The sequence below is a fragment of the Homo sapiens genome, chromosome 2 (assembly GCF_000001405.40).
Source record: "Homo sapiens chromosome 2, GRCh38.p14 Primary Assembly".
NCBI lineage: Eukaryota > Metazoa > Chordata > Mammalia > Primates > Hominidae > Homo > Homo sapiens.
Genome location: NC_000002.12, coordinates 210,057,141 through 210,074,165, shown reverse-complemented (window position 1 = coordinate 210,074,165; position 17,025 = coordinate 210,057,141). Strand labels below are relative to the sequence as shown.

The 17,025-nt window shown below is 41.6% G+C and overlaps 1 protein-coding gene and 1 long non-coding RNA gene across 14 annotated transcripts in view; one reads left to right on the top strand and one right to left on the bottom strand.

Annotated features, from left to right (window-relative positions):
- KANSL1L (KAT8 regulatory NSL complex subunit 1 like) overlaps positions 1 to 17,025 on the top strand; it is a 151,340-nt gene that overhangs the window by 98,595 nt on the left and 35,720 nt on the right. The window contains exon 7 of one of the 13 annotated variants that reach the window (XM_047443490.1): positions 915 to 966. The exons of the other annotated variants lie outside the window; for them this stretch is intronic. Within the exon in view, the coding sequence (XP_047299446.1) occupies positions 915 to 966 (52 nt within the window). The remainder of the gene's footprint in view (positions 1 to 914; positions 967 to 17,025) is intronic. 13 annotated transcript variants of the gene reach the window in all.
- The window catches only part of KANSL1L-AS1 (KANSL1L antisense RNA 1), a 34,435-nt gene continuing 27,219 nt past the window's right edge, over positions 9,810 to 17,025 (bottom strand). Inside the window, exon 5 of the long non-coding RNA NR_110291.1 lies at positions 9,810 to 10,382. This is a non-coding gene — a long non-coding RNA (KANSL1L antisense RNA 1). The remainder of the gene's footprint in view (positions 10,383 to 17,025) is intronic.

The following is a 17,025-nucleotide window of genomic DNA, read 5'->3' as shown; positions in this document are numbered from 1 at the left end:
CCCATATTGTCACCCCAATAATTATTTACCTTTCTAAACTTAATTTAAATGTCATTTCTCTCAGGAAGCCTTCCTTGACATGCCCAGAATGGTATATATATTGTTATAGCACCCTGTTTTAACCTTGCTGAGCTGGAATTTATTATACTATTTTATAATCATTTCTTTTCTGACTTTTCAGAAAAAAGTGTGTTATGTTTTCAGAGAATAGGGGCTGTATCTTTTTATTTCCAGATCTGCAGGGCCTTGAAGAGTACCTGTCTGATAGAATGTGCTCAGTAAATAATTGTTTAATGTGTTAAAGAATTAACGAAGTGGAACATAGGAAAATATTTAAAAGGCAATAGAGAATTGGAACTGTGTGTGTGTGTGTGTGTGTGTGTGTGTGTGTTTGTGTGTTTCCTAGATTTGCCTACTGCAGTGGTCTAGAATAGTGATATTCCATATCCCATAGAACTTTCTTTTTTTTCTTTATGGAAAGTCTTGAGAACCATAGAACTTTCTGTAATGATTCAAATGCTCTATAAATCTATACTGTCCAATATGGTAGCTCCTAGACACATGTAGCTATTGAGCACATGAAACATGGCTTATGTAATTGAGGAACTGAGTTTTTTTTTTCTTTTCCATTTTTTTTTTTAGACATCTCGCTATGTTGCCCAGGCTGGTCTTGAACTCCTGGGCTCAAGTGATCCTCCTGCCTTAGCCTCCCAAAGTGCTGGGATTACAGGTGTGAGCTACTGTGCCCATCCTGAATATTTAATTTATTTTGTTTTTATTTTAATTTAAGTAGCCACACATGGGTAATTGCTACCAAACTGGACAGCACAGATGTAGACTCAGACTTATCCTGATAAGTAATCAGTATGTCTGGAACTCATATTTTGTTTTCTAATACCATTTCCTACTAAAAGGAATCGGGGATTTCTGGAGAAATGGCTGGTCTCCAGGGCTGGGGAAGAAAAGGTATGATTATCCTGGAACATCGTAATGTTAACAGAAAGCAAGGAAGTGTTTAAAAAAATGATAAAGACATGTTGAAAGAACACAGAAGCTAGCTTGAAGAGGCCCCTAGTGGCCAAATCTAGGACTATTTGGCATCAAAATAAATAAGGACAATATTGAACCATTGAAAAAATAGGAACTCATGAGTCCATACTGATGATAGATAAATTGGTGAAAAGGAAAACTTTTCCATATGCTAGGATGCTGATTAATAAATGTGGAATAAACAGTCAAATTAGAGAATCATTTTGCAATCATCATAGTAAAGATTGATTGGACAAGAATCATTAATGGGTATAACTCTGGGGTCAGGATTGAGGAGAGGTTTGATGAGGAACAAGATTTGCATGATCTTAAAGCAGGGGTCCCCAGTCCCCTGGTCACAGACCAGTACTGGTCCGTGGCATGTTAGAAATAGGTCACACAGCAGGAGGTGAGCAGCAGCTGAGCGAGCATTACCGCCTGAGCTCTGCCTCCTGTCAGATCAGTGGCGGGAACTCACGGGAACTCAAACCCTATTGTGAACTGTGCATCTGAGGTATGTAGGTTGTGTGCTCCTTATGAGAATCTAAAGCCTGATGATTTGAAGTGGAACAGTTTCATCCTGAAACCATCTCCCCATCTCCTACACCCCCAATCTCCTGTCTGTGGAAAAATTGCTTTACATGAAACTGGTCCCTGTTGCCAAAAAAGTTGGGGACTGCTGTCTTAAAGTGCCTCCTGCCAGTTGCCAGGGGGCATATAGTAACTATATATACAGAAACAAACAATACTTTGCCTGAGTGATCAAAACTACTGTCACCTGTGAGGGAGGATAACACTGTGTAGTATTCTGACTAGAAATGTATAACCTGAATTTAATCATGAGTAAATATCAGACAAAGCCAAAATCAGACATACAGTATTAAAAAACAACTGGCCAGTATTCTTTTAAAAATGTCAATGTCATGAAAGCCAAGAAAGGCTAAGGACTTGTTTTAGATTGAAAGAGACACTAAAAAGATACATGACAACTAAATGAATATATGATCTAGAGCAGAATTCTTTTCAAGGGAAAAAAAATTATTGGGACAATTGAGGAAACTAGACTATTGATGGTAGATTAGACAAAATATTTTATTAATGTTGAATTCCCTGAATATTATTGTTTTTGCAGTTATGTAAGAAAATATCCTTATTCTATGAAATACACATTGAAATATTAAGGGTAAAATGGCTAAGGCATCCATTGTATATAATAAATAAACTTCCCTTCTGGAATGGTACCAGCCATGTGCAACCAAAAAGAGAGGGGAGTGAAATATTTAAAATATTGAAAAGCAAAAACAAACGCTGTAGTGGGCAGAATTGTGTCTCCCCACCACCACCCTGAAAGATATGTCTATGTCCTAACTCCTGGTTCCTAGGAATGTAACTGTTATGGGTTGAACTGTGTCCCTAAGAACTCTTATATTGACGTTCTAACAGCTAGCACCTTAGAATATGACCTAATTTGGAAATTGGGTCATTAAAGATGCAATTAGTTAAGATGAAGTAATCAGGGTGGGCCCTAATCCAATATGACTGATGTCCTTATAAAAAGGGGTAACTTTGGTCGGGCATGGCAGCTCATGCCTGTAATCCCAACACTTTGGGAGGCCGAGGGGGGTGGATCACCTGAGGTCAGGAGTTTGAAACCAGCCTGGCCAACATGGCAAAATCCCGTCTCTACTAAAAAATACAAAAATTAGCCAGGCATCATGGTTTGTGCCTGTAGTCCCAGCTACTTAGGAGGCTGAAGCATGAGAATCGCTTGAACCTGAGACGCGGAGGTTGCAGCGAGCTGAGATCATGCCACTGCACTCCAGCCTGGGTGACAGAGTGAGACTCTGTCTCTAAATAAATAATTAAAAAAATAAAAATGAAAAGGGGGAATTTAGACACAGATGCATGCATACAGGATGAATGCCACATAAACATGAAAGTTGAGGTCAGAATGACACTTCTACAAGCCAAGGAACACCAAAGATTGGTGTTACTCTGTTGCCCAGGCTGGAGTGCACTGGCACAATCTCAGCTCACTGCAACCTCCGCCTCCCGGGTTCAAGCAGTTTTCCTGCCTCAGCCTCCCAAGTAGCTGGGATTACAGGTGCCCGCCACCACACCCGGCTAATTTTGGTATTTTTAGTAGAGATGAGGTTTCACCATGTTGGCCAGGCTGGTCTCAAACTTCTGACCTCGTGATCCACCCGCCTCAGCCTCCCAAAGTGCTGGGATTACAGGCGTGAGCCACTGCACCCGGCTACATATGTTTTATTTAAAAAAATTTTTATTGTGGTAAAATACATATTACATATACATATAACAGAGCAAACACCAGAAGATAGAGGATAGGCCTAGCAGAGTCTTCCTCTTAGTCCTTAAAAGAAACCAATCCTGCTGACATCTTGATTTGACTTCCAGCCTCCAGAACTGTTATTTCAGCCACTCAGTTGTGGCATTTTGTTATGACACACCTAGCAAACTAATACAGTGGACATTTTTGTTAGTAAGGTCTTTGTAGTTGCAATTAAGGATCCTGAAATGAGATCATTTTGAATTTAGAATGGGTCCTAAATCCAGTGATTGGCGTCCTTATAAGAGAAAGGAGAGGGCTGGGCGCAGTGGCTCACGCCTGTAATCCCAGCACTTTGGGAGGCCGAGGCGGGCGGATCACGAGGTCAGGAGATCTAGACCATCCTGGCTAACATGGTGAAACCCCATCTCTACTAAAAAATACAAAAAATTAGCTGGGCGTTGTGGCGGGCGCCTGTAGTCCCAGCTACTCGGGGGCTGAGGCAGGAGAATGGCATGAACCCGGGAGGCGGAGCTTGCAGTGAGCGGAGATCGCGCCACTGCACTCCAGCCTGGGTGACAGATTGAGACTCCATCTCAAAAAAAAAAAAAAAAAAAAAAAAGAACGGAGAAAGAGATTTGAGACACAGAGAAGGCTATATGAAGATGAAGGCAGAGATTTGAGTTATGCTTCCACAAGTTAAAGAATGTCAGGGGCCAAGCAGACACAGTGGCTCACGCCTGTAATCTCAGCACTTTGGGAGGCTGAGGAAGGCGGATCATTTGAGGTCAGGAGTTCCAAACCAGCCTGACCAACATGGTGAAACCCTGTCTCTACTAAAAATACAAAAGTTAGCCGGGTGTGGTGGCAGGTGCCTGTAATCCCAGCTACTCGGGAGGCTGAGACAGGAGAATTGCTTGAACCCAGAAAGCAGAGGTTACCGTGAGCAGAGATCCTACCACTGCACTCCAGCCTGGGTGACAGAGTGAGACTCTGTCTCAAAAAAAAAAAAAAAAAAAAAAAAAAAAAAAAAAAAAAAAAAAAAAAAAAAAAAAAAGAATGTCAGGGGCAATAAATAAATAAGTTAAAATCAAGGTGTTGGCAGAAAAAGTAAAATTTAAATTTAATTTAATTTTAAAAAAAGAATGCCAGGAGCCACAGAAACTGAATGAGTCAAGGAAGGATTCTCCCCTAGAGCCATCAGAGGGAGTGTAGCCCTGCCAACACATCAATTTCATACTTGTCCTTCACAACTATGAGAGAATTAATTTCTGTTGCTTTAAATCACTCACCTTATGGTAATTTATTATGGCAGTCCTAGGAAACTTATACAGAGTTTGGTGCCAGGAAGTAAGGTGCTGATGTAACAAATACTTAATGGTGGAAGTGGCTTTGGAACTGGGTAATGAGCAAAGGCTGGAAGAATTTTAAGGTCCATGATAGGGAAAAGCCTAGGTTTTGTGAGAGCTCAGAAGGAAATGAGGAAAATGAAAGACAAAGCTGCTGTTATCTTAGAGAATATGTATATCATCATGAACAGAATTTGCTAGAAACATGAATGTTAAAGGTGCCTTCAGTGAAGTTTCAGAAGGAAATGGGGGACACGTTATTAGAAACTGGAGGGAAGGCTATCCTTGTTATAAAGTGGCAGAAAACTTGGCTGAATTATATTCTACTGTGAGGTGGAAAATAGAACTTTTAAGCAATGAACTTGGATATTTAGCTGAGGAAATTTCCAAGTAAAGTGTAGGATTTGTTATCTGGTTTCTCCTTGCTTTTTAGAGTAGAATATGAGAGGAAAGAGATAAAGTGAGTAAGGAGCTGTTAGGTTAAAAGCAACCAGAGCTTTGATGATTTGGAAAATTCTCAGGCTATTACAAAAAGTGATATAGCTTGCTCTGGGGATTACCCAGAGCAGAGACAAACTTTTGCTGGGAAGGTTAGGTATGTAACTCATGGATCCAATCAATCATCTAAGCAGAAGCCAGGAACAGAGATAAGGTTATCCAGAAAGAATTTTGAGAGAACACTCCTGTCTTAATGACATGGATTCCCTTGACATATGTGAGAATCCCACAAAGATTTTGAGAATTTTATACCTGAAGCAACACTACCAGCTTAAACCAAAAGGGGCAAAGACGAGACAAAATGAAAAAGGTTGTCAGACCCCCAAAATTTTACAGGCAGGAAATGCACTGATAGAACAACTCAGTTGCAAACACTTATTACCCGCCAATAAAAAGGAAGGTAAATCAGACCTAAATGTGACAGGAAAACAATAAACTTCTAGAAGAAAACACAGGAGAATGTCTTCATGTCCTCGGGGTGGCTGACTTCTTAAACAGGATACAAATATCACTAATCAGAAAATACTGCTAATTTGGGCTTTGTTAATTATGAACTAATTTTCATCAAAGACAGCATTAAGACAATAGAGTACACACTGACTGAAGAGATTTGCATTCTCTGTGTGTGTGGGTGTGTATATATTCAACAAAGATTTTATATCCTGAATATATGTATATATTTTTAAATGGCTAAAAAAAACAAGAAAAAAGAGATAACTTAATTAAAAATAGGCATAAATACAGTTACATACTTTAAAATAGTAAAGTGGTAACTTTTGTTATATGTATTTTACCACAATAAATTTTTTAAATAAAAAATATGCAGCCGGGCGCGGTGGCTCACGCCTGTAATCCCAGCACTTTGGGAGTCTGAGGCAGATGGATCACGAGGTCAGGAGTTTGAGACCAGCCTGGCCAACATGGTGAAACCTCATCTCTACTAAAAATACAAAAATTAGCCGGGTGTGGTGGCAGGCGCCTGTAATCCCAGCTACTTGGGAGGCTGAGGCAGGAAAATTGCTTGAACCCAGGAGGCGGAGGTTGCAGTGAGCTGAGATTGTGCCACTGCACTCCAGCCTGGGCAACAGAGCAAGACTCCATCTCTAAATAAATAAATAAAAATAAAATAAAATAAAAATATGCATAAGACTTGAACAGATCTTTTGTAAAAGAGGATATCCAAATGGCCAATAAACATATGAAAATGTGTTTAAAATCATTGCTTATCAAGGAAATGCAATTAATACTACATCAATTTTTTTTTTTTTTTTTTTTTTTTTTTTGGAGACAGGGTCTCACTCTGTCACTCAGGCTGGAGTGCAGTGCAGTTAAGTGATCTCAGCTCACTGCAGCCTCAACCTCCAGGGCTCAAGCTCTCAAACAATACCCCCACCTCAGCCTCCGGAGTAGCTGAGATGACTGGCACATGCCCCCATGCCTGGCCAATTTTTCCTTTATATTTTTTGCAGAGATGGGGTTTCGTCATATTGCCCAGGCTGGTCTCAAACTTCTGAGCTCAAGTATCTGCCCACCTTGGCCTCTCAAAGTGCTGGGATTACAGGCGTGTACCACTGCACCCAGACTAACATACATCTATTCTTATAATCCAGCAATTCCACTCTTAGGAACTCATCCAGGAATAATGAATACATATACACACAAAGGCTCTCCGGAGAAAGAGAGCAATAGAATATATATAGATATATAAGAGAAGATTTATTATGGGAATTGGCTCACATGATTGATTATGGAGACCAAGAAGTTTCATAATATGCTGTCTGCCAGCTGGAGAACTAGGAAATCCAGTGGTGTAATTCAGTCCAAGGCTGGAGCCCTAGAACCAGGGGGAGGAGGATGCCTGGTATTAAGTCCTGGAGTCTAAAGGCCAGAGATCCAGGAGCACTGATGTCTCACTGAAGGCCAGAGAAGATGAATGTCCCAGCTTAAGAAGAAAGGGAATTTGCCCTTCCTCTGCCTTTTTGTTTTATTCGTGCTATCATCAGATTAGGTGAGGGTGATCTTCTCTACTCAGTCAACTGATTCAAATGTTAATCTGTTTGGAAAACACCCTCACAGACACACCTAGAAATAATGTTTTACCAGCTTTCTGGGCATCCATTCACCTAGTCAACCTGACACATAAAATTAACCATCACAGGGCTCATAACAGCTTTACTCATTAAAGCCCCAAATACAAAGTAATCTAAATGCCACCAGCAGAATTGTGGTATATTTATACAGCAATAAAAAGGATGGACTACTGATAAAACAACAAAGATGTATCTCCCAGACAATATGTTGAGTGAAAGAAGTGAGAACAGGCCTGGTGTGGTGGCCGATGCCTGTAATCCCAACACTTTGGGAAGGCTGATGGGGGAGGATCACTTGAGCCCAGGAGTTCAAGACCACCCTAGGCAACAAAGTGACACCGTGTAGGTTTTTGAGTTGGAAATGTGTCATACCCTTGGTGGTGGTTACCAGGGCATATACCTATGTAAAAATTCATTATGCTGTATATCTTTGCCATAGAAGTGGGCATGTGCCCCATGCTGCACATTCAGAGTAGCCTATCCCCGTTGTTTTGGCCATCTATTGTTGCATGACAGACTATCCCCAAACGTAGTGATTTAAAACCATTTTCTATTATCTTTCATGATTCTGTGGATTACCTAAGTAGTTATTCTTCAGCCTTGCCTAAGGTCTCTCCTACAGTTGTAGTAAGATTGTGACTGGGGTTAGCCATCTGGATGCTTGGATGGGCTGGAATAGCTGGGCTTCCTTCACTCTCTGTGCCTCCCAAAATGCAAATATAGAAGCTAGGAGTTCTTCTTAAGACTTAATCCTACAACTAGCACAGTGTTTTTCTGTTTAATTTATTAAAGTGATACAGTGTAGGATTTAATTTAGGAGGGACTATACAAGGGCAAGAATACTGGGAGTCATGGTTCATTGGGGCTGTAATTGAAAACTACTACAGTCCATCCTCTGGTTCCCTCTTTCATATGTAAAAACCATTGAACACCTTCCTTCCAAGACCCCTGATGTCTCAACCCATTATGGCATTAGGCTCAGGCTTGAAGTCTTGGAACTCATCATCAAGAATCATGTCCATGGCTGGGTGCAGTGGCTCAAATGCCTGTTATCCCAGCACTTTGGGAGACTGAGGCAGGTGGATCACCTGAGGTCAGGAGTTCGAGACCAGCCTGGCCAACATGGTGAAACCCCTACTCTTCTAAAAATACAAATATTAGCCGGGCGTGGTGGTGCGCATCTGTAATCCCAGCTACTTGGGAGGCTGAGGCAGGAGAATCCCTTGAACCTGGGAGGCGGAGGTTGCCGTGAGCCGAGATCATGCCACTGCACTCTAGCCTGGATGGCAGAGCAAAACTCTGTATCAAAAAAAAAAAAAAAAAAAAAAAATCATGTCCAGGCACCTCAATTGAGAGGTAGACAAACCTTTCTGAGGTGTTAATGAAGGGTCTTACAGTCTCATCCTTAGATCTTGACACTGAGGCCACAGTTTTACTGGCAGTTCCCTGGATTTGATCTTTTACTGATACCATGTCTAACTGTGAGAACCTTTTGGTGTGTGGAGTAGCTGGAAATGAGAAACAGTCTTATTTTTGAATGGGGAAGTACTGGCTCTGTTTTCTCTAACTTCTGCTTGAAAATGTAACAGATTCTTTTTTTTTTTTTTTTTTTTTTTTTTGAGACAGAGTCGTGCTCTGTCATCCAGGCTGGAGTACAGTGGTGCGATCTCGGCTCACTGCAACCTCCGCCTCCGAGGTCAAGTGATTTTCCTGCCTCAGCCTCCCCAATAGCTAGGATTACAGGCACCACCACCACACAGGGCTGTTTTTGTATTTTTAGTAGAGATGGGGTTTCACCACGTTGGCCATGCTGGTCTCGAACTCCTAACCTCAGGTGATCCACCTACCCAAAGTGCTGAGATTACAGACGTAAGCCATCATGCTTGGCCTAACAGCTTCTTTTTAAGATCATCCTACACCATCCATACTTTATCATAGGCAATTAAATGAAACCATTTGGCCCTTTGCACATTCTGCCTAGAAACCTTAGCTAGCTCTATGAGTTCGTAATGTACTCCTTCTATACTCCACTTTTTTGTAAGGAAGTGTTACACTAATTTTTTTTCCTGTGTTTTTTTTTTTTTTTTTTTTTGGTGGGGGAGGGATGAGGTCACACTGTGTCACCCAGCCTGGAGTGTGGTGGTACGATCATAGCTCACTGCAGCCTCGACCTCCCAGGCTCAAGCAGTCCTCCCACCTCAGCCTCCCAAGTAGCTGGTACAAGCATGTACTGCCACACCCAGGTAATTTTAAATTTTTTGTAGAGACAGGGTCTTTCTATGTTGCCTAGGCTTGTCTTGAACTCCTGGGCTCAAAAAATGATCCTCCTGCATTAGCCTTCCAAAGTGCTAGGATTACAGGTATGAGCCACTGCCCTGGCCTAATTTTTCTACTAGAGCAGTAAGATGGAAGAGGTAGAGGTAAACTGATAGGAATAATTATTTAGAATAATTATTTGCAGAGGTTATGATTCCTTTGCTAGACAGGATTAATAAAAAGCATAGATTGTTATGCATTTTTACTTGACTTTGCTCATTTTACAACACTAATGATAATGTCAAATAATAATAGCTAATATTTATTAAGCAATTATGTGTCAGGCATCATTTTAATTTCTGTATTAGTCCATATTCATGCTGCTGATAAAGACATACCTGAAACTGGGTAATTTATACAGGAAAAAGGATTTAATGGACTTACAGTTCTACATGGCTGGGGATACCTTGCAATCATGGTGGAAGGCAAGGAGGAGCAAGTCATGTCTTAACGTAGATGGCAGTAGGCAAAGAGAGAGAACTTGTGCAGGGGAACTCCTCTTTTTAAAACCATCAGATCTTGTGAGACTTATTCACTATCACAAGAACAGCAAGACTTGGCCCCGTGAGTCAATTACCTCCCACCGATCCCTCCCACAACATGTGGGAATTCAAGATGAGATTTGAGTGAGGACACAGCCAAACCATATCATTCCACCCCAACCCCTCCCAAATCTCACGTCCTCACATTTCAAAACCAATCATGCCTTCCCAGCAGTCCCCCAAAGTCTTAACTCATTTCAGCATCAACTCAGAAGTCCACAGTCCAAAGTCTCATTCGAAATAAGGCAATTCCCTTTCGCCTATGAGCCTGTAAAATCAAAAGCAGGTTGGTTACTTCATAGATACAATGAGGGTACAGTCATTGGGTAAATATGGCCATTCCAAATGGGAAAAATTGGCCAAAAAAAAAAGGGGGCTACAGGCCCCATACAAGTCCAAAATCCAGCAGGGCAGTCAAATATTAAAGCTCCAGAATGATCTCTTTGACTCTATGTCTCACACCCAGGTCACACTGATGCAAGAGGTGGGCTCCCATGGCCTTGGGCTCCTGTGGCTTTGCAGAGTATAGCCCCCTTCCTGGCTGCTTTCACAGTCTGGCGTCTAGTGTCTGCAGCTTTTCCGGGCACACAGTGCAAGCTGTCTGCAGATCTACCATTCTAGAGTCTGAAGGACAATGACCCTCTTCTCACAGCTCCACTAGGTGGTGCCCCAGTAGGGGCTGTTTGTGGGGGCTCTGACCCCACATTTCCCTTCTGCACTCCCCTAGCAGAGGTTCTCCATGAGCACTCTACCCCTGCAGCAAATTTCTGCCTGGACATCCAGGCGTTTCCATACATCTTCTGAAATCTAGACAGAGGTCCCAAACCTCTTGACTTCTATGCACTTGCAGGCTCAACACCACATGGAAACTGCCAAGGTTTGGGGCTTGCACCCTCTGAAGCCACAGCCTGAGCTCTACATTGACCCTTTTCAGCCATGACTGGAGCAGCTGGGACACAGGGCACCAAGTTCCTAGGCTGCACACAGCACAGCGACCCTGGGCCCAGCCCACAAAATCACTTTTTCTTCCTAGGCCTCTGGGCCTGTGATGGGAGGGGCTGCTATGAAGACCTCTGACATGCAGTGGAGACATTTTCTCCATTGTCTTGGGGATTAACATTTGGCCCCTCATTACTTATGCAACTTTCTGCAGCCAGCTTGAATTTCTCCTCAGAAAATAGGATTTTTCTATTGTATCGTCAGGCTGCAACGTTTCCAAATTTTATGCTGTTTCCCTTTTAAAACTGAACACCTTTAACAGCACCCAAGTCACCTCTTGAATACTTTGCTGCTTAGAAATTTCTTCCACCAGATACCCTAAATCATCTCTCTCAAGTTCAAAGTTCTATAGATCTCTAGGGCAGGGACAAAATGCCACCAGTCTCTTTGCTGAAACATAATGAGTCACCTTTGCTCCAGTTCCCAACAAGTTCCTTATCTCCATCTGAGACTACCTCAGCCTGGATTTCATTGTCCATATCATGATCAGTATTTTGGTCAAAGCCATCCAACAAATCTCTAGGGAGTTCCAAACTTTCCCACACTTTTCTGTTTTCTGAGCCTTCCAAGCTGTTCCAACCTCCCAGTTCCAAAGTCGCTTCCACATTTTTGGGTATCTTCTAAGCAGCGCTCTACTCTATTGATACCAATTTACTGTATTAATCCGTTTTCACACTGCTGATAAAGACATACCCGAGACTGGGAGGAAAAAAGAGATTTAATAGACTACGGTTCCACGTGGCTGGTGATGCCTCACAATCACCGCACAAGGTGAAAGGTGCGTCTCACATGGCAGCAGACAAGAGAAGACAGCTTGTACAGGGTATCTTCTCTTTTTAAAACCATCAGATCTCATGAGACTTATTCACTATCACAAGAACAGCACAGGAAAGACCCACCCCCATGATTCGATTACATCTCCCGGTCCCTCCCACAACACATGGGAATTCAAGATGAGATTTGGGTGGGGACACAACTAAACCATATCAACTTCTAAATGCTTTAAATATATTTTTAATTTGATATTCATACCCCATTTTACTTAGAGAAACTGAAGTACAAAGTGGAATGAGAAGATACACATATTTAGCACTATTTAAATGAATATAAATACAAATTTGGTAGTTTTCTCTTAAATGTTAATGCCGAATCTTAACACTACATCTTTCATAAGCTTGATTTCTACATCTGATTTGAATCTTTTATGAGTTTTTCAGACTGTTTCTTTCTATGACTAGCCCATATAAACAATTGTTAAAACTTCACGTAGTTTCTAAGGCTGTTTAAGAATGTTTGGCTTTCTTATTCTAAGAGAATCATATCTTTTGCTGTCTAAGCCACTTTATTCATTACTGGTACACTTTAGTTTATGCTTGGAGAATCTATGCTTCTTTGTGCTTGATAATGTTGCTTTATCTACCTAGAATATAGATGTATCTTTAGATCCAGAAAATACACTGGTAGGCATAGCTAGATGTGAAAATGTTTTTCAGAATAATACTCTAGTATAATTCTTAAAATATAAATGTAGCTAATAGCATTCTTTAAAATTTCACTTGCAATTAATAATTTAAAAATGTTTATCTGATCATAATATGCTTCTTCAGCTCCTTCTTGATAGTCTTTATACCCAGTTGCTGTGCAACGTTAGGCCCTATACTATTGATGTCTCAGCCTTAGACAACAGAAGCCACCCTGATTAACTCCTGGCAAAGGAAGTTCTCTTTCCCACTGGGAATGGTGAACAGAGGCCTCTGGCATCCAAGATTAGAATTCCTAATACACTTTCTATAGAAGCGGGTTGTAGGTAATTGGACATACAAATTGTTTATATAGGAAGCTAATAGTTACAATAATTATATTTTGAGTTAGGGCAGTCTACTTATTGTATTATAAGATTTTAGTTAATAAACCTAATTGTTTGAGTAAGAATAAGTCAAGAAGTGTATTCAATCACTTAGATCAGAGGTTATTTTATATGAAATTAATAAAAGTAGAAATGGTTGGTTGAAGGTAGGGAAAAGCCCAGAGTTTTATTTGGTCATGCTCCCAATCACCCTCCTCCATATTGGGGGTGGGGAGTAGCAGTGGTGATTACTTCTTCTCTATTAATAGTTGCAGCCCTTGAGCAATAATAAATAAATCAATGTGATATAAATATTAGAAACATGAACTGGGCAGAAGTTTTAAATGAATGAAACTTTATTTGCAGGACACTCACTTATCTTGTATTATCCCCATCATGGTGGTTCCCACCCCTCTGGTATCTAGTGATGTTATGTATGCTTCCTGTTTTCTCATGGTATTCTTCAAATTACCCAGCTCTTTTCTTTTCCTCTTCTTATTTCCATACAAATATAACTGGCCTGTTTTGTCACTAGTTGACCTGCTAATCTCTGGTAAGCTGTTTACCAATGATACTGTTACTCTGAAGAACGCTATTTGCATATCAAGACGCTGGTCTTGCAGAAGTAGTAAATTAAATTCAAAATGGTCACATTATTAAGATTATGGAATGTTGGGTGGGAAACTATTTTGAGCAGGATAATTTTTTCATTTTTTATGAATTTTAGCATGTAATCCACAAGCCATTTCATATTTATGAAAACAGCTGTAGTGACCTAACATGTATAAATTGAAGTAACATTAATAATGAATATTATAACCTTTATGAAATAAGGCAGAACTATTCCTATTTTAATTTGTTCATCTGTGATCTTTTATCTGTCTCCTATGGCAGATTTGCAAAAGTAGTGTTTGTAGTCTGTATCATCATTGTTATTTCATAGATTCTCAAATCATAATGCTGAGTGGTTTAATAAAATAATCCAGTGGTACGAATTAAGGTACATATAATAATTTCATTTGAAAGTTTTCATTTCCTTTTTAAAATGTGAATGATTAGGTATGTAAACTTTATGTGAATGCAGGCCACTTTTTTGAACAAATAATAGAAGATTTTAAAGAAAAATAAAGATATCATCTCATAGAAATTTAAATTCTTACTGGAAGCTGGGCATGATAGCTCACGCCTGTAATCCTAGCACTTTGGGAGGCCGAGGTGGGTGGATCACCTGAGGTCAGGAATTCGAGACCAACCTGGCTAACTTGGTGAAACCCCATTTCTACTAAAAATACAAAAAATTAGCCAGGCGTGGTGACACGTGCCTGTAATCCCAGCTATTTGGGAGGCTGAGGCAGGAGAATCGCTTGAACCCGGGAGGTGGAGGTTGCAGTCAGCTGAGATCATGCCATTGCACTATCTCAAAAAAAAAAAAAGTTACTTAAGTAGTATTTTTATGCTGCTGGGAAGCCAACTCTTTCTTCCATGCCACACCTACTGGAGCATCTGCTTTAGACAATGGGAATTATCTTAGTTGAGGATTTTCTTACCTTGCTGTAACAATTCTGTACTCCAGGGACTTCTATAGGTTGACTGGAGAGATAAATTTATAGCATGTATAACATATTCCTGTGAGAAAATATGCTTTATATAATTGCAGATAAATTTGGAAGCTACCAAATTAAAGAGTCTAGAAGTTATTTTTTGTAGGGAAGCAGCACATTTTAGTGGTTTCATACTGGATTGTAATCCTTGTTCTACTTAATAGTGTGCAGTACTGTGCAAATTACTTACTACTTTGTTTTCCTCATCCATAAAAATAGGACTACCATCATATGGCTACATTCAGCTGGAGGGCCAGCTGTGCTGGCGGAAGTGGGACTCACTTGCTCTTCTGGCAGGTGGTGCTGGCTGTTGGTTGGGGCAACTCAGTTCTCATTGTGGCCTCTCATGCTGCATTAGCTAGAATGGCTTCCTTCCATGGCACCTCAGGACAGTGCTCCAATATGACAAGGAGGAAGTTACATGCCTCTTGAAGCCTAGGCTCCAGATCTTTTTTTTTTTTTTTTTTTGAGACGGAGTCTCGCTCTGTCACCCAGGCTGGAGTGCAGTGACGTGGTCTCAGGTCACTGCAAGCTCCACCTCCTGGGTATGGGGGAAATTCAGCCAGATATTGGGCAAAATTCACCCCCGATATTTCATGTAGGTTCTTTTCTGTTTTCCCTAAGTGTCAGCCGGTCTGAGAAATAAAGGGAAAGAGTACAAAAGAGAGAAATTTTAAAGCTGGGTGTCCGGGGGAGATACCACATGTTGGCAGGTTCCGTGATGCCCCCTGAGCCGTAAAACCAGCAAGGTTTTTTTTTTTTTTTTTTTGAGACGGAGTCTCGCTCTGTCTCCCAGGCTGGAGTGCAGTGGCGCGATCTCAGCTCACTGCAAATTGCGCCTCCCGGGTTCACACCATTCTCCTGCCTCAACCTCCCGAGTAGCTGGGACTACAGGCGCCCGCCACCACGCCCGGCTAATTTTTTAAAAATATTTTTAGTAGAGACGGGGTTTCACCATGTTAGCCAGGATGGGCTCGATCTCCTGACCTCGTGATCCACCTGCCTCAGCCTCCTAAAGTGCTGGGATTACAGGCATGAGCCACTGCGCCTGGCCAAAAGCAGCAAGTTTTTATTAGTGATTTTCAAAAGGAGAGGGGACTGTACGAATAGGGTGTGGGTCACAGAGATCACATGCTTCACAAGCTAATAAGATATCACAAGGCAAATGGAGGCAGGGCGAGATCACAGGACCACAGGACCAGGGTGAAATTAAAATTGCTAATGAAGTTTCGGGCACGCATTGTCATTGATAACATCTTATCAGGAGACAGGGTTTGAGAGCAGACAACCAGTCGGACCAAAATTTATTAGGTGGGAATTTCCTCATCCTAATAAGCCTGGGAGTGCTACGGGAGACTGGGGCTTATTTCATCCCCACAGCTTCGACCATAAAAGTCAGCCGCCCCCTGAAGCGGCCATTTCAGAGGCCTACCCTCAGGGACGCATTCTCTTTCTCAGGGATGTTCCTTGCTGAGAAAAAGAATTCAGCGATATTTCTCCCATTTGCTTTTGAAAGAAGAGAAATATGGCTCTGTTCCGCCTTGGCTCACTGGCAGTCAGAGTTTAAGGTTATCTCTCTTGTTCCCTGAACATTGCTGTCATCCTGTTCTTTTTTCAAGGTACCCAGATTTCATATTGTTCAAACACACATGCTCTACAAACAATTTGTGCAGTTAATGCAATCATCACAGGGTCCTGAGGTGATGTACATCCTCCTCAGCTTACGAAGATGACGGGATTAAGAGATTAAAGTAAAGACAAGCATAGGAAATCACAAGGGTATTGATTGGGGAAGTGATAAGTGTCCATGAAATCTTCACAATTTATGTTCGGAGATTGTGGTAAAGACAGGCGTAAGAAATTATAAAAGTATTAATTTGGGGAACTAATAAATGTCCATGAAATCTTCACAATCCACGTTCTTCTGCCATGGCTTCAGCCGGTCCCTCCATTCAGGGTTCCTGGCTTCCCGCAACACCCGGGTTCATGCCATTTTCCTGCCTCAGCCTCCCGAGTAGCTGGGACTACATGTGCCTGCCACCACGCCCGGCTAATTTTTTGTATTTTTAGTAGAGACAGGGTTTCACCATGTTACCCAGGATGGTCTCAATCTCCTGACCTCATGATCTGCCTGTCTCAGCCTCCCAAAGTACTGGGATTACAGGCGTGAGCCACAGCGCCCGGCCCTATTGTTTGTTTTTTTGAGAAAGACTCTCACTTTCTCTCCCAGGCTGGAGTGCAGTGTCAACGATCTTGGCTCACTGCAACCTCTGCCTCCAGGGTTCAAGTGATTCTCATGCTTCAGCCTCTTGAGTAGCTGGGATTGCAGGCAAGTCCCACCATGCCCACCTAATTTTTGTATTTTTAGTAGAGATGGGATTTCACCATGTTGGCCAGGCTGGTCTCGAATTCCTGGCCTCAAGGGATCTGCCCACCTTGGCCTCACAAAGTGCTGGGATTACAGG